At 39.4% G+C, this 18,490-nt stretch overlaps 1 long non-coding RNA gene across 3 annotated transcripts in view, besides 1 other annotated feature; it reads right to left on the bottom strand.

Moving 5' to 3' along the window:
- LOC107984361 (uncharacterized) overlaps positions 1–18,490 on the bottom strand; it is a 552,293-nt gene that overhangs the window by 511,350 nt on the left and 22,453 nt on the right. The gene's annotated exons all lie outside the window — the stretch shown is intronic.
- Positions 3,182–3,382: a silencer, noted in NCBI's record as "peak1383 fragment used in MPRA reporter construct". NCBI's record gives its function as "represses an SCP1 promoter by STARR-seq MPRAs in K562 erythroleukemia cells {active_cell/tissue: K562}" and the evidence as "EXISTENCE:reporter gene assay evidence [ECO:0000049][PMID:32103011]".

Below are 18,490 nucleotides of genomic sequence, written 5' to 3'. Positions count from 1 at the left end.
TTTTACTGTGGCAGATAGACATGTAAGCACACAGCTAGTATGTGGTAGAGAGATTCCAACATACGTCTTTCTGATCCCAAAGTCCACATACTTTCCAATCTGCAATACTCTGGCCGCAAAGGACACTGGAAAAATTAAGAGCTGTCAGATACATATTAGATAGAAAAGAATTGGAAAACCATATATTATTGATGAGGTCATACAAATATTAATTTACAATCATAATTCATATCCAGTTAAATTTAAATTATACTTACTGAGCACCTTCTAGGTTCTGTGGTAGTCAGAGAGATAAATAAGACTTAATTCTTGCTTCAGTTGATCTAGCACATTTTCTCAGCAATGGCATATATAATACCAGTCTTCAATTCAGATTTATAACATTTATTATCATCTTTCCTTAAAAATGGAAAATTCTACTGCTGGGTGACTTCGAACAGATTCCTCAATGGTATTGAGCATAAGAATAGAAAGCAGTCTATTCCAAGACTGTAGGGTTCAACTAGACCTAATGATCCCTTGATCCTATTTTCTCTGAGACTGAGGGATTCAGAAAGATACTCACCTAGTTACACCTGAAAGCTAAACCAGAGAACTACTGGAGGAAGACACACAGGTAGATAAGGAGGGAACATTTCTTCCATTCTCTCTGGTTCCCATTCAAAGGCCGAGGCAAACCCAATAGTGGCCATGGCCCTCAAGGTATACGAGGAGCTAGACAGAAGTAAGACAGACTTTTACAAGAAGCCATCTCAATCCCCAAAACCCAGTGGGATCATCTGAGTTGTAGCTAAGGGTAAGGCAATTTACATCAGTGTCTGAGAAACAGTATTAGGATTAAGCCCAAATACAGAGCAGAAGATCTTGAGCTGCAATCAGATGCAGGTTGGAAAGGGAGGTCAAAACTCTCAGAAAGAAGGCTGTTGACAAATTTGCCTTCAGAAAGTTAGCAGCCAACAAATTTCTGCTGATTTTTAAATCAACATATTAGCTACCATGTTTCTGTGGATAATGATACAAAAAAAGATAGTTTGTTATATAATAAATACTGCCCACCTGTGAGTCCTTCAGGCTGATCATGTGGGACATCACCAAGACTGTAATACACTGGTCTTTTACTGACTATGACCAATTAAACAGACACAGGGAGAGTCATTTCAGGACAAGGCCATGGAGCACTTTATCTCCAGAGAATCCTAAAGCTGGGATCAGATGGGATTTAACACTCAGTTTATAATGAACTTTGACAACAACTCTATGGTCATTTTTATTTGTTTTGTCCTGTTCTTGGCCATATTACTACATGATAGTATATGCTAATGATACAAATGATAATGATACAAATCTCAGTGGATATAATGACTTAGTAACCACTCCTAGACTAGGTTGTACATAATGCAGTCGTTTGGAGGTTGAAATTAGAGGCATTAGAAAGACAACTGATTGTGACTTCCAAGTGCTTTAATTGACATACGGCCCTTGGAATTCAGACAAGATAGGCCTGCAGGGAGGCTTTGCTATGTAGAGATACTGAAGAATGGCCTGGGAGCCTTTCCAAGCCTGGAGGAACTTGGATGGATCTACAAGATGATGCAAGGTCATTCCTTTCCAGCTCCAACCCCAGTCCCAAGACAGTGTGGGGAATTGGGGAACCAAGTTCAGGAAAGGAACAACTTGTCCCTTCAGCAGAGTTAAGTAGGGCCTGGGGACCTCTTATGTTTACATTGAGTAGACTTTTTTTTTTCAGTCCTTACCCACAAATTCAGGTTGACCTTCTCTCTTCTTCATTAGCAGCCTTGTATGGCAAAGGACCTGATCTTTAGCCTGATAACCCCAAACAACTCCTAGGAGAAAGGAAAAATGCCAAGTATCATGGCATTTTGGTTGAGAAGAAAGAGCACCCCCTATGGAATCTAGACTCCTGGATATATGCAAGACTTTAACCCACCACTCACCTAAATCTTTTGTCTTTGTCCTTCATGAGCTCTTTGCTTTGTTCCAAGAAAGTAATACAAATTATCAATATTCTTTCTAATTTATAATAAGCATTACTGACAGAAAAAATTACCATATTATAGTGAAACTGAAAATAATGAATCTCCACAGGTTAAAATTTGTTATAGGTAAAAACTAACTGAAGAATTATGCATTGCTGGGCATATAGTAAAATGCAAAAAGAAAAAAATGATCTTAGAAAAAGCATATTTAGAAGAAATAATCAACAACAGCACCAAATAAAACTGTCAACAGCTAAAACCACACTCAAAAAAATTAGCAAAAAAAACTTCTTGCAAAATTTGCATCTAAAATATTTTATCTGAAAAAATTGAATTAAAAACTATAAAGGCCAAAAAAATGAAAACATAATGACATTTGACAATAATAAAACAAATGATTATAACAAAAACTGATGACTACATTAACGTTTATTATAAAATGTACACAGAAATAATTAATCTAGACCAATATCCATAAAATAAAACTATAACTACCCTGGATAGGAAATGATCAAGGAATTAAGCTGAATTAGTATAGAATGCTCCAAAAGAAAAATGCTTTTCCCATAGACATTCATTCACTAAAGCATAATCTTGATGTAGAGATTTTTTTTTTTTAATATGGACATTAAGTACATTCAAGCCCAAAACAGTCAGGTAAAAACATTCACAGAGTCCAAGTAAGAGTCAATACAACAGAATTTAAACGCCTGCATTCAACTCTGAGGATTGAATCTTGGCTCTGAAGCACATGGCTTTGGTACCAGTAAGCCATATGACTTTGAAAAAGTTACTTAATGTCTCTCAGCCTCCACTGCCTCATATGTAAAATGTACATGTTAATTTCATACCTTTCCTCTTAGTGTTTATATTGGGCTATCCATGAGAAGTAAAACCAGGAGAAGTCTTGCACACATCTTTCTTCTGAGAACTTCCTTACCCTGTGGTTTCCACACTTTGTGTCATATAACCTCAGGCTCTAATCATGACCTCTTGAACTAAGGATAAGTATCTGACCCAAAAATATAGTTAGATTGGCCGGCAACCTGCCAAATGCATTGCCCCAGAAAGACAGTTTATACTCAGTGGTTACTGGCTAATTCAATCCACTAAGTCCACTCTTGGGGAATTTTAATGTCAGATGTGCAAAAAAAAAAAAAGTGAGCAGAGAGTAGGACTGGCAGAAGCAGAGAGGAAAAGAGGAAACAAGAGGCAGAAGCCATGAGGTACCATGGGTAAGTAAAAGCCATGAGTCAGCTAAAAGCAAATAGGCTGAGGAAAGAAAAAAGAATTGTCAGGAATGAAATAGGAAGAAGCTGGTGGAGAGAAAAATAGAACTGAAGTTGCCGCATTGCAATAGTGAAGGATATACATAGATATATAAGAAAATATTTATTACAGGAATTGGCTCGCATGATTATGGAAGCCAAGAAGTCCCAAAATATACCATTTGCAAGCTATAGAATGAGGAAAGCCAGCAGTGTGATTCAGCCCTTGTCGTAAGGCCTGAAAATCAGGAAGGCTGCTGTTGTAAATCCAAGGTCATAAGGTCCAAGAACCCAGAGCACCTACATCTAAGGGCATTAGAAGACAGATTTCTCAGCTCAAGAAGAGAGAGTGAATTTTCTCTTTCTCTACCATTTTGTTCTATTCAGGTGCCCACTCAAATAAGTAAAGGTGGATCGTTTTTACTCAGTCTACTGATCCAAATGCTAATATCATCTGGAAACACCCTCAAAGATTCACCAGAAATAATGTTGTGCCAGCTTCTCTGCTTATCCCTTAACTCAAAAGTCAATATATAAAGTTAACTATCACAGATAGGAACTCAGAAGACGTCTCAAATTGTTACTGGGGCCCAGAGCTACTAACAGACTCATGTAGCTGCTGCTGCTGCTGAATTATATGTGGTGACAAACAATGTTCCAGATTTCCAAAGACCTTACTGTGCAGCCTTTCTAATTTTCCCAGCCATCCTTGAAATAAACCTCCAGTGCTAGTGACATGAACAACAACAAAAACAAATGATCCTTCAGTATATAAAAAGACATTCACCCTCACTCATAATAAGATAAGAGAAATGAAAATTAAAACTAAACTGAGATTTGATTTCTTTCCTAATCAGATTGGTGAATATTCAAAAGTTTGATAAGACACCTTTTAATCAAGGCCATGGGAAAATGGGTACTTCTCTGCTGGTGGGAAAACAAAACAGTACAACCCTGGGAAGGGGAATTTGGGAATTTGGTAATATCTAAGATGTATACACAAGGCAAAGTAGTAAAAATTATAACTGAAAAATAACTTAAATATCTATCAATAGGGAATAGGTTGAATAACTGAAGTACATCCAAACAATGGTGTATAGTTGTCTTGAAGAATAAAGATTTTTTTCTGTGTACTACCATGATCTCCCGGATTTAATGTTGAGCAAAAAAAAAATCAAAGCAGAGAAGAGTACACATAGTATGCTATTGTTTATCTAAGAAAGAAGAGTACTAAGTACACACACACACACACAGTGCATTCTCATTATTCTCATTATTTGTGGTAGTTGTGTTCTCTAAAGTCACACTGAGCACTAAATTAGCAAATAACTGAACCATTGCTCCTAATGGAAATACAGGATTAGGTTCCTATAAGCCCTGGTCACAATATTTTTATCAATAGATCAATATATAACCCTGTTTTACGTCTGACTCTGTTTAAAGGAATCTTATTTAAATATATGTTCTTGATTCATTAATGTTGATCTCACAGCCATCAGCACTGCAACTCATGCCTAAATGAAGGTTATCTAGTACACGGATTTTCCTCATAAGGCACATCAACAACCTTATTATGCTTAGTAACACCAAACAGCACTTCAGCACTATGCTTTGGGGCCATTGTTAATTGTGAAATCATCAAGAAAAAGCAAAAAGTGCAAAAAAAAGAATAAATCTACTGCAAAAAGGACACTAGCTTACATACGAGAGCTGCAGTGAGAAGATAGAGCCTTATTTGACTCAGCTAGGAATATACACATTGAATGATTCAGATTTTACAGTGCTTTACATGTATTCATGAATGACCATGGAAGTGCTGCAAGTATTGATTTTAAGGTTACAAATAAATGTTAGCATGTAGACAAATTTGCAAATCTGGAATCTGTGACTAATGAGGATTGATTGTATATATTTCTTACATTTAAAAATGGAGTGGTTCCTGAAATTTTTTTTATTAGTTTAAAATTTTTTAAACGTTAAATTGAAGAATAAGCCACAAAATATAGGTATACATCAGAGATATGGTGGGTTCAGTTCCAGACCACCACAAGAAAGCAAATATTGCAAGAAAGGGAGTCACACAAATTTTTTGGTTTCCCAGTGCATATAAAAGTTATGTTTATACTATACTATAGTTTATTAAGTGTGCAATAACATTACATCAAAAAAGTACATGGCTTAATTTAAAAAATACTTTATAGCTAAAAAAATGTTAATGATCACCTGAGCCATGAGCAAGTTGTAATCTTTTGTTTTTGGAGCGTCTTGCCTCAATGTTAATGGCTGCTGACTAATCAGAATGGTAGTTGCTGAAGGCTGGGGTGATTGTAACAATCTCTTGAAAAACAAATGAAGTTTGCCACATTGATTTACCTTTCCTTTCATAAAAGATTTCTCTGGAACATGCTATGCTATTTGATAGCACTTTACCCACAATACAACTTCTTTCAGAATTGGAGTCAATTCTCTCATATCCTGCTGCTGCTTTCTCAAGTAAGTTTATGTAATATTCTAAATTCTTTTTTGTCATTTCAACAGTGTTCACAGCATCATCACCAGGAGTTGATTCCATCTAAAGGAACCTCTTCCTTTGCTCATCCATAAGAAGCAACTCCTCATCTGTTCCAGTTTTATCATGACGTTGCAGCAACTCAGTAACACCTTCAGACTTCAGTTCTAATTCTAGTTCTCTTGCTATTCCACCACATTTGCAGATATTTCCTTCACTGAAATCTTGAAACCCTCAAAATCTTCAGTGAGGGTTGGAGTCAACTTTCTTCTAAACTCTTGCTGATGTTGATATTCTTTCAAACTACTGCTCTCCCTATGAGTCATGAATATCCTTAATGGCAGTTAGAATGGTCAATCCTTTTCAGAAGGTATTCAATTTACTTTGCTCAGGTCCATCAGGGGAATCACTATCTATGGCAGCTATAGCCTTACAAAATGTATTTCTTAATTTTGACTCAAAAGTCAAAATTACTCCCTGATTCATGGGCTACAGAATGAACATTGTATGAGAAGGCATGAAAACAACATTAAACTCCCTGTACATATCCGTCAGAACTCTTGGGTTACCAGGTGCATTATGTCAATGCGTGGTAATATTTGGAAATAAATCTCTTTTTCTGAGAAGTAGGTTTCAACAGTGGGCTTAAAATAGTCAGTAAACTACTCTATAAGCTGATGTGCTGTCATCTAGGCTTTGATGCTCCACTTACAGAGCACAGGCAGAGTAATGTAATTCTTAAGAGCCCTAGGATTTTCAGAATGGTAAACAAACGTTGGCTTCAATTTAAAGTCGCCAGCTGCATTAGCTCCTAGCAAAAGAGTCAGCCTGCCCTTTGAAATTTTGAAGCCAAACATTGACTTCTCTTCACTAGCTATGAAAGTCCTAGATGGCATGTTTTTCCAATAGAAGGCTGTTTCATCTGCATTAAAAATCTGTTTAGTATAGCTACCTTTATCAATGATCTTATCTAGATATTCTAAATAACCTACTTCAGCTTCTCCATCAGCACTTGCTGCTTCACCCTGCACTTTAATATTATGGGTAGATCTTATTTCCTTAAATCTCATGAACCAACCTCTTCTAGCTTTAAACATTTCTTCTGCAGTTTCCTCACCTCTCTTAGCCTTCATATAATTGAAGAGAGTGAGGAATTTGCTCTGGGTTAGGTTTTACAATTAAGGAAATGATGTGGCTGGTTTGATCCTCTCTCTAAACCACCAAAATGTTCTCCATATCAGCAATAAAGCTATTTCACTTTCTCATCATTTTGTGTGTTCACTAGACTATAACTTTTAATTTTTTTTAGAATTTTTCCCTTGCATTTACAACTTGGCTGTTGGGCACAATAGGCCTAGCTATAGCTAATCTATCTCAGCTTTTGACATGCCTTCCTTACCAAACTTAATCATATTTGGCTTTTGATGTAAATGGAGAGACATGTGATTCTTCTTTTCACTTGAACACTTAAGAGGCCACAATAGGGTTATTAATTAGCCTAATTATGTCTTAAGGAATAGGGAAGACAGAAGAAAGAAAGAGAGATGAAGGAATGGCTGGTCAATGGAGCAGTCAGAGCACATACATTTATTGGTCAAGTTTGTTATCTTATATGAGCCTGGTTCATGGCAGCCTGAAAAAACATAATAGTGACATCAAAGATCACAGATCACCATAACAGATACAATAATAATGAATAAACCTGAAATATTATAAGACTTCTAAATGTGACACAGAGACACAAGTGAGCATATGCTGTTGGAAAAATGGTGCCAATAGACTTGCTTACCACAGGATTGACTCAAACCTTTAATTTGCAAAAAAACCACAGTATCTGAAAAACACAATAAAGTGAAGTACAATAAAACAATGTATGCCTGTAAACAAAATTGGGAGAAAAAAACAGGATGGAGGCAGAGAAATAGAAGGTAAACTTCTCTACATATCCCTTGTTTCATAATTTGATTTTGAACTATGTAAGTTTTATACAATTATAAAATAAAATTAAACCAAAATGAAATTAAAGGCAATCTCTAAATTTGGATTGGAAATATTATGACATCATCATGTACTTTCTTTTAAAAAATGTCTTTCCTAGCTCTTCTCATTGAAAAGACCTAGACACAATAATCAACCCAGTCACACTGAGCTCTCTCATAACTAGATAATGTTCTCTAAATGTCATTTCTCACTAAAAGAAGCCAGGCCTCTTTGGGGAAATGGCTAATTCTAGATCTGAGGCCAGAAATGTACAAGTTAACACTAAAATATTTTTACATCCTAAAAAGCAAGGACATTAACAAAGGTCATGTCAGAAGGACTCGGGAAGATTTAAAAAGAATCCCATTGGCTAAATGTGAGATGATGTACATACCAGTTAGAATAATAACTACAATATATAAAAACACATCTGGCCGGGTGCAGTGGCTCACACCTGTAATCCCAGCACTTTGGGAGGCCATGGCAGGCAGATCACAAGCTCAGGAGATTGAAACCATCCTGGCCAACATGGTGAAACCCCATCTCTACTAAAAATACAAAAATTAGCTGGATGCTGAGGCAGGAGAATCGCTTGAACCTGGGAGTCAGAGGTTGCAGTGAGCTGAGATCATGCCACTGCACTCCAGCCTGGGCAACAGAGCGAGACTCCATCTCAAAAAAAAAAAAAAACACACATCTAATGTATTTAAATTATATATTTAAATTGAGATAATAATCTCACACACACACACACACACACACACACACACATCTCATTGTTCACTTTAGAAGATGCTAGGAACTAATCCACTATTCTGAATATTGCTAATTAAAATAAAAAACCATTTTTCCTACCCTTTGTTTTCAATGCTTATTTTAAATTCAAGGGGTATATATGCAGGTTTGCTACCTGGGAATATTGTGTGATGTTGAGGTTTGCAATACAAATGATCCCATCACCCAAGTACTGAGAACAGTCACAATAGTTAGTTTTTCAACACTTTCCCTCTCCCTCCTTCCCCCATCTAGTAGTCCCCAGTTTCTACTGTTGCCATCTTTAGGCAATGAAGCCTACTTGATCATGGTGAATTAACTTTTTGACGTGCTTTTGGATTTGGTTTGCTAATGTTTTGTTGAGGATTTGTGTGGCTATGTTCATCAGGGATATTGGCCTGCAGTTTTCTCTTTTTGTTGTGTCTTTCCAAGGTTTTGACATCTATGACGCTGGTTTTTCAGAATGAGTTAGGGAGCAGTCTCTCCTCCTCAATGTTTTGGAATAGTTTCAGTAGAATTGGCACCAGTTCTTTGTATGTCTGGTAGAATTTGGCTGCAAATCCATCCGGTCTGGAGCTTTTTTTTGGTTGTTGATAGGATTTTTATTACTGATTCAGTTTTGGAACTCAATATTGTTTTGTTCAAGGTTTCAATTTCTTCCTGATTCAATATTGGGAAATGATGTGTTCCTAAGTAACTTATCTATTTCCTCTATATATAGTTTGCATACATAGAGGTGATCATAATCATATCTGAGAATCTTTTATATTTCTGTGGGATTGGTTGTAACGCCACCTTTTTTTCTGATTGTGCTCATTTGGATCTTCTTTCTTTGTTCATCTAGCTAGTTGTTAATCAATCTTGCTTATCCTTTCAAAAAACCAAGTTTTGATTTTTTTTATTTTTGTATGGATTTTGGAGTCTCAATTACATTCTGTTCTGCAATTTCATTCTGTTATCTGATTTTACTTATTTCTTTTCTAGTACTAGCATTGGGGTTAGTTTGTTCTTGTTTTTCTTGTTCCTCTAGATATGATATCAGATTGTTAATTTGAGATCTTTCTAACTTTTTGTGGGAAGCATCTAACATTATAACCTTTCCTTTAACATTTCTTTTGCTACATACCAGAGAATTTGGTATGTTGTGCACCTATTTTCATTTATTTCAAATAATTTTTTTATTTCTACCTCAATTTTATTGCTTACCCAAAAGTCATTCAGAAGAAAGTTGTTTAATTTCCTTGTAATTGTATGGTTGTGAGAGAGCTTCTGTGTGTTACTTTATATTTTTATTCCATGGTAATTGGAGAGTATGGTTGATATGATTTCAAATTTTTTAAATTCATTGAGACTTGGTTTATGGCAAAGTGTGTGGTCAATCTTGGAGTATGTTCTGTGTGGAGATGAGAAGAATGTATATTTCTTGGTTGATGGGTGGAGTATTCTGTAGATGTCTATTAGGTCCAATTGATCAAGTGTTGAGTTTAAGTTCAGAATGTCATTGTTAGTTTTCTGCCTCAGTGATCTGTCTAATGCTGTCAGTATGGTATTAAAGTTCTCCACTATTATTGTGTAGCTGTCTAAGCCTTTTTGTAGGTCTAGAAGTACTTGTATTATAAATCTGGGATCCAATGTTGGGTGTGTATATATTTAGGACAGTTATGTGTTCTTCTTAAATTGTACCCTTTATCGTTATATAATGGCCTTCTTTGTCCTTGAAATCTTACTGTACTTGGTTTAAAGTATGTTTTATCTGATATAAGAATAGTGATTCCTGCTCTTTTTTGTTTTCTGTTTGCATAGTAGATGTTTCTCCAACACTTTACTTTGAGCATATGCATATTGTTACATGCAAGATGGGTCTCTTGGAGAAAGTAGACAGATTGGTCTTGTTTTTTTACCCAACTCACCCTTCTGTACCTTTTAAGTGGGGTGTTTAGACCATTGACACTCAAGTTTAATATTGATATGTGAGGTTTTGATCCTATCATGAAGTTGTTATCTGGTTGCTTTGTAGTTTCCATTGTGTAGCTGCTTTATAGGATCTGTGGGCTATGTACTTGAGTATGTTTTTGTGGTAGCAGGTATCATTCTTTTGTTTCCACGTTTGTTGCATGGAACTCCCTTATGGATATCTTGTAAGGGTGGTCTAGTGGTAGCAAATTCCCTATGCAGTTGCTTGTCTGGAAAAGATATTATTTCTCCTTTGCTTATATAGCTTCGTTTGAGGAGATAGGAAATTTTTCTTTATACTTTAAGTTCTGGGGTACATATGCTCAACGTGCAGGTTTGATACATAAGTATACATGTGCCATGTTGGTTTGCTGCACTCATCAACTCATCATTTACATTAAGTATTTCTCCTAATGCTATCCCTCCCCCAGTCCCCCACCCCCTGACATGCCCCAGTGTGTGATCTTCCCCACCTTGTGTCCAAGTGATCTCATTGTTCAATTCCCACCTATGAGTGAGAACATGCGGTGTTTGGTTTTCTGTCCTTGTGATAGTTTGCTGAAAATGATGGTTTCCAGCTTCATCCATGTCCCTGCAAACGACATGGACTCATATATATATATATATTTTTTTTTTTTTTTTTTTTTTTTTTTGGAGACGGAGTCTTGCTCTGTCACCCAGGCTGGAGTGCAGTGGCACGATCTCAGCTCACTGCAAGCTCCACCTGCTGGGTTCACGCCATTCTCCTGCCTCAGCCTCTGGAGTAACTGGGACCACAGGTGCCCACCACCACGCCCGACTAATTCTTTGTATTTTTAGTAGAGACGAGGTTTCACCGAGTTAGACCAGGATGGTCTCGATCTCCTGACCTTGTGATCCACCCACCTCAGCCTCTCAAAGTGCTGGGATTACAGGCGTGAGCCATGGCGCCTGGCCAATCTCATCTTTTTTATGGCTGCATAGTATTCCATGGTGTATTTGTGCCACATTTTCTTAATCCAGTCTATCATTGATGGACATTTGGGTTGGTTCCACATCTTTGCTATTGTGAATAGTGCCACAATAAACATACATGTGAATGTGCCTTTATATTAGCATGATTTATAATCCTTTGGGTATATACCCAGTAATGGGATTGCTGGGTCAAATGGTAATTCTTGTTCTAGATCCTTGAGGAATTGCCACACTCTCTTCCACAATGTTTGAACTAATTTACACTCCCACCAACAGTGTAAAAGCGTTCCTACTTCTCCACATCCTCTCCAGCATCTGTTGTTTCCTGACTTTTTAATGACTGCCATTCTAACTGGCATGAGATAGTATCTCACTGTGGTTTTGATTTGCATTTCTCTGATGACCAGTGATGATGAGCATTTTTTCATGTGTCTTTTGGCTGCATAGATGTCTTCTTCTGAGAATTGTCTGTTCATATCTTTTGCCCACTTTTTGATGGGGTTGCTTTTTCTTGTATATTTGTTTGAGTTCTCTGTAGATTCTGGATATTAGCCCTTTGTCAGATGGGTAGATTGCAAAAATTTTCTCCCATTCTGTAGGTTGCCTGTTCACTCTGATGGTAGTTTCTTTTGCTGTGCAGAAGCTCTTTAGTTTAATTAGACCCCATTTGTCTATTTTGGCTTCTGTTGCCATTGCTTTTGGTGTTTCAGACATGAAGTCCTTGCCCATGCCTATGTCCTGAATGGTATTGCGTAGGTTTTCTTCTATGGTTTTTATGGTTTTAGGTCTAACATTTAAGTCTTTAACCCATCCTGAATTAATTTTTGTATAAGGTGTAAGGAAGGGATCCAGTTTCAGTTTCTGCATATGGCTAGCCAGTTTTCCCAGTACCATTTATTAATGGCCCCCACTCTTTTCTGGCTTGTAGGGTTTCTGCTGAGAGATCCACTGTTAGTCTGATGGGCTTCCCTTTGCAGGTAACTCGACCTTTCTCTCTGGCTGCTCTTAACATTTTTTCCTTCATTTCAACCTTGGTGAATCTGACGATTATGTGTCTTGGGGTTGCTCTTCTTAGGAGTATCTTTGTGGTGTTCTCTGTATTTCCTGAATTTGCCTGTTGTCCTGCCTTGCTAGGTTGGGGAAGTTCTCCCAGATAATGTCCTGAAAAGTGTTTTCCAACTTGGTTCCATTCTCCCCATCACTTTCAGGTACACGAATCAAACATAGATTTGGTCTTTTCATATAGTCCCATATTTCTTGGAGGCATTGTTCATTTCTTTTTAGTCTTTTTTCTGTAACCTTGTTTTCTCACTTTATTTCATCAATTTGATCTTCAATCACTGATATGCTTTCTTCCACTTGATCAAATTGGCTATTGAAGCTTGTGCATGCGTCATGAAGTTTTTGTGCCATGGTTTTCAGCTCCATCAGGTCATTTAAGGTCTTCTCTACACTGTTTATTCTAGTGAGCCATTTGTCTAACCGTTTTTCACGGTTTTAACTTCCTTGCAATGAATTCGAACATCCTCCTTTAGCTCAGAGAAGTTTGTTATGACCAATCTTCTAAAGCCTACTTCTGTCAACTCGTCAAAGTCATTCTCTATCCAGCTTTGTTCCGTTGCTGGTGAGGAGCTGCAATCCTTTGGAGAAGAAGAGGCACTCTGATTTTTAGAATTTTCAGCGCTTCTGCTCTTGTTTCTCCCCATCTTTGTGGTTTTATCCACCTTTGGTCTTTAATGTTGGTGACCTACAGATGGGGTTTTGGTGTAGATGACCTTTTGGTGATGTTGATGCTATTCATTTCTGTTTGTTAGTTTTCCTTCTAACAGTCAGGTCCCTCAGCTGCAGGTCTGTTGGAATTTGCTGGAGTTCTACTCCAGACCCTGTTTGCCTGGGTATCACCAGTGGAGGCTGCAGAACAGCAAATATTGCAGAACAGCAAATATTGCTGCCTGATCCTTCCTCTGGAAGCTTCGTCCCAGAGGGGCAGCTGCCTATATGAGGTGTTTGTCGACCCCTACTGGGAGGTGTCTCCCAGTTCCATTTCACGGGCATCAGGGACCCACTTGAGGAGGCAGTCTGTCCATTCTCAGAGCTCAAACGCCATGCTGGGAGAACCACTTCTCTCTTCAGAGCTGTCAGACAGGGATGTTTAAGTCTGCAGAAGTTGTCTGCTGCCTTTTGTTCAGCTATGCCCTGCCCACAGAGGTGGAGTCCAGAGGCAGTAGGCCTTGTTGAGCTGCAGTGGGCTCCACCCAGTTCAAGCTTCCCGGCTGCTTTGTTTACCTACTCAAGCCTCAGCAATAGCAGAAGCCCCTCCCCCAGCCAGGCTGCCATCTAGCAGATGGATCTCAGACTGTTGCACTAGCAGTGAGCAAGGCTCCGTGGGCATGGGAGCCACCAAGCCAGGCACAGGAGAGAATCACCTTGTTTGCCAGTTGCTAAGACCTTGGGAAGAGCACAGTATTTGAGCAGGAGTGTCCTGTTTTTCCAGGTAGTCTGTCATGGCTTCCCTTGGCTAGGAAAGGGAAATCGCCTGACCTCTTGCACTTCCCAGGTGAGGCGATGCCCCGCCCTGCTTCGGCTCACCCTCTGTGGGCTGTACCCACTGTCCAACCAGTCCCAATGAGATTAATCAGGTACTTCAGTTGGAAATGCAGAAATCACCCTTCTTCTGCATCAATCCTGCTGGGAGCTGCAGACCGGAGCTGTTCCTATACGGCCATCTTGGAACAACCCGAGATAAGAAATTTTTGGTTGAAATTTATTTTTTTTAAGAATGCTAAAAATAGGCCCCTAATTTCTTCTGGCTTGTAAAGTTTCTGCTGAGAAGTCCACTGTTAGCCTGATAGGGTTCCCTTTGCACATGATCTGACCTATTTCTCTAGCTGCCTTCAAGATTTTTTCTTTAGCATTGACCTTGGACAGTCTGGTGACTATATGCCCTGGTGGAGTTAGTTTTGTATAGTTTCTCCCAGGTGTTCTCTAGATTTCTTGTACCTGGATGTCTACCTCTCTAGCAAGATTAGAAAATTTTTCTTGAATTATTCCCTCAATATGTTTTCCAAGTTGTTTACTTTTCCTCCTTCTTTCTCAGGAATGCCAGTAATTCATAGCTTTTGGTTGCTTTACATAATACCATGTATCTTGAAGAATTTGGTTGGTTGTTTTAATTCCTTTTTTTTTTTTTTTTTTTGGTCTGACTGGTTTAGTTTGAAAGACTGGTCTTCAAGCTCTGAAATTCTTTCCTCTGATTGATTCAGTCTATTGCTAAAGCTTTCAATTGTATTTCAAAATTCATTGAGTTTTTCAGTTCCAGAAGCTCTGGTTGATTTATTTTTAAGATGTCTCTTTCTTCATTTCCTGGATTGCTTAGCAGTTTCTTTGTGTTGATATTCAACTTTGCCTTGGATCTCATAGACCTTCCTTGCAATCCGTGCTTTGAATTCTTTATCTGTAGTTTCTGAATTTCCATTTTGGTTAGGGACCCTTGCTGGACCAATTAGTGTGATCTTTTTGTGTTGTCTCCACATTCAGATTTTTCATGGTGCCAGAATTCCTGTGCTGGTTCCTTATCATCTGGAGAGACTTGCACTTCTAATTTTTGTAGTTATTTTTATATAGGTAGATTTTTTTCTTTTTCTTTCTTTCCCTATTATGTTTCCCTTCCTTTTTCTTTTCCCCCCATTCCCTAGGGAATGTGACTGTAGAGAATGCTGGATACAGTCTTTTGGCTTTGCTTCAATAGCCGTAAGCACTCTTTTTTAGTGGGTTTTATATTGGGCTGTGCTGTTTGACCTACAAGCCAGTAGAAGGTACTTATAAGTAAGTAATCTGTGGCCAACATGGCTGGGTATATACATGATCCTTGTTTACTGGCAGAAGCTGTTTCCTTAGTCAATGGGCTGATTCATGGAAGGCACAGTGGTCTGAGCTCCATGTTCAGCCACTGGTGGGTGGGGGCCACGATGGGCAGGGCTGGACTGGGGGGTCCACCTACAGATCCCTGATGGCAGGCATGAGCATCAGTGCCAAGGGAGAATCCAGCAGGCAGCCACCAAGTACCCAGAGGAGTGCCTAGGCATGGAGCTGGGAAGCTTACTTAGCTCTTCAAGTTCTCTGCATGGGGATGGGAGAGGGCCTAAACTCCTAATCTGGGAAAGTAGGTGCTCCAGATGCTTGGAGATCTATTTGAGCGTGGAGCAGAGAGAGCCCCCACTACACCAAGATGTCTGCACAGGAGGGGTGGGGTGACTCAGACTAACAGGGTGGGCAAGCAGGTGCTCTGAATACCTGGAGATCTGCCTGGGCATACATCAGAGAAAGCTCAGGTGCACCATGATCTATATCCAGGAAGGGTGGGGTAGCTCAGGCTGCTGAATAGACAAAATGCTCCAAATACCTAGAGATCTGCTTAAGCATGAAGCAGAGTGGGCGTCCCTGCACCAGGAACTCTGCCCAAGAAGGGTAGGGTGGGTCAAGCTGCTGATCTAGGTGAGAAGATGCTCTGAATGCCTGGATGTGGAGCAGAGAGAGCCCTAATTCACCATGATCTATGTCCATGGAGATTGAGGCAGCTTACACTGCTGGCCTAGGGAAGTGGGTGCTACAAATGCCTGGATTTCTGCCTGGGGGTGGAGCACAGAGGGCTCTACTGCACCACAATCTCAGGGGAGCAGGCTGAGGGTGCCCAGCAATGGCACACACAGACCGGTTCCAAGTTTCCAAGCTGTCCCTAGCTGCAAGTCTCACCTCTCAGGAGAAACTGCTGCTGTAGTATTTCTCTGCCACCTCTACGCTTGCAATGAGGGACAGCATAATTCTAATGCCTAATGCTGAAATGCCTTCCTCAGTTCTGGCTGTGGGAGCTCCTATTCCACTTCAGAGTGGGTGCTCCAATCTCTGGCCTGAGAATATATTGTTTGTGTGGCCATGCTGCTGGGTAGCCAAAGAATGGCTGACTTTTTATGTGCCCAGGTTAAAAACGGCATCCTTATCTCAGTCCTGGCTCTGGGACTGTGTCTGCAGCTTTTCCCTATCTTTCCATCACAGCATATTCAAGCCTCTCCCTGTTAGTTACAGGGCTTGGGAGAAACATAGTGCTGTATCTCAGCCGGAATTGCTCAGTATCACTGAGCAATTTGGTATCACCACCAAATGGTTTTGCTCTGCATCCTCCCCACCCAAATCTCATATCGAATTTTAATTCCCCGTGTTGAGGAGGGAACCTGATAGGAGGTGACTGGATCATGGAGGTGGATTTCCCTTCTTTTGTTCTTATGACAGTGAGTTCTCATGAGATCTGGTTATTTAAAAGTATGTAGTAGGGCTGGGTGTGGTGGCTCATGCCTGTAATCCTAGCACTTTGGGAAGCTGAGGCAGGCAGATCACTTGAGGTCAGGAGTTCAAGACCAGCCTGGCCAACAGGGTGAAACCCTGTCTCTACTATATGTACAAAAATATTAGCCAAGCATGGTGGCACATGCCTGTAGTCCCAGCTACCAGGGTGGCTGAGGCAGGAGAATTGCTTGAACCTGGAAGGCAGATGTTGCAGTGAGCCAAGACTGCACCACTGCACTGCAGCCTGGGTAATAGAGCAAGACTCTGTCTCAAGTAATAATAATAATAATAATAACTATGTAGCACTTTCCCCTTCACTCTCTCTCTCCTGCTCTACCATGGTATAAGACATGTTTGCTTCCTCTTTGCCTTCTGCCATGATTGTAAGTTTCCTGAGACCTCCCAGCCATGCTTCCTGTATAGCCTTTGGAACTGTGAGTCAATTACACCTCTTTTCTTCATAAATTACCCAGTCACGGGAGTTTGTTATAGCAGTATGAGAACAGAATACACTTGGATTCCCAGTGGAAAGGTCAGTCACAGGGGAAGGCTGTCTGCCTCTCTCATATACTTAGGCTTCAATCACCATTATCAGCCAGACACCATCACCAGAGCTGTTTGCTGGCATTCTCCTCCCTGGAATCAGTGATGTTCTTCATAATTCCACTGGATTCCCATTTTCCTTCTTGAATTAAAGCTCACGGAGTAGACCTTTATGAACTATCGTGCTATTTCCAAGTAGCTAAGGCATGCTAAAAGCTTCTAATCTGCCATCTTGGGGGAAAAAAAAACACCTGTCTTTTTTTTATATGAACGGGGCCTTAAACCAATCAAGTAGGTGTTGAAGAATTTTTTTTCTATAGAGGTATTTCAGATTACAAATAAAGAAGGAATGAGAGAATGTTACCTTTTTGCAAACTCCTTATAGGGATATAGGCTTATTAATTGCTATGGACAAAATTTCATCCCCCCATATTTTATGTATTGAAGCCCTGGATCCCAATGTGACTGTATTTGGAGATAGGGTCTCTCTCAATCCATTTTCTGCTGCTATAACAGGATGCTATAGACTAAGTAATTTATAAAGACAAGAGATGTTTTTGGCTCACAGTTCTGAAGGCTGAGAAGTCCAAGATTAACTAGCCACATCTGGTGAGGACTTTCTTGCTGTGTCATAACATGGTGGAAAGCATCACATGCTAGAGGCATGAGCACAAGACAGAAAAAGATAAAGGGGGGCAAATTCCCATGAAAACAGAATTAATCCATTCATGAGGGCAAATTCCTCATGATCTAATCACTTCTTAAAGTTCCATCTCTTAATACCATTACAACGGTAGTTAAATCTCAACATGAATTTTGGAAGGGACATTCAAACCATCAAAGGCCTTAATTACCTTAAGGAGGCAATTAAGATTAAATAAGGTCACAAGCATGGAACCCTAATCCAATAGGATGAGTGTCCTTATGAGAAGAGGAAGCGACACCACCAGAGCTCCGTCTTCACGCACACACAGAGAAAAGGCCATATGAGGGAACAATGAGAAAGTAGTCATCTAGAAGCCCGAAAGAGGTCTTACCAGAAACAAACTTTATTGGCACCTCGGTCTAAGACTCTGAACCTCTAGAACTGTGAGAAAATAAATTTCTGTTGTTTAAGCCACTCAGTCTTTGGTATTCTGTTTTAGTAGTCCAAGGAAGCTAATACATTGATA

The sequence above is a fragment of the Homo sapiens genome, chromosome 11 (assembly GCF_000001405.40).
Source record: "Homo sapiens chromosome 11, GRCh38.p14 Primary Assembly".
Taxonomy (NCBI): Eukaryota; Metazoa; Chordata; class Mammalia; order Primates; family Hominidae; genus Homo; species Homo sapiens.
This window is presented reverse-complemented; position numbering and strand designations above follow the sequence as displayed.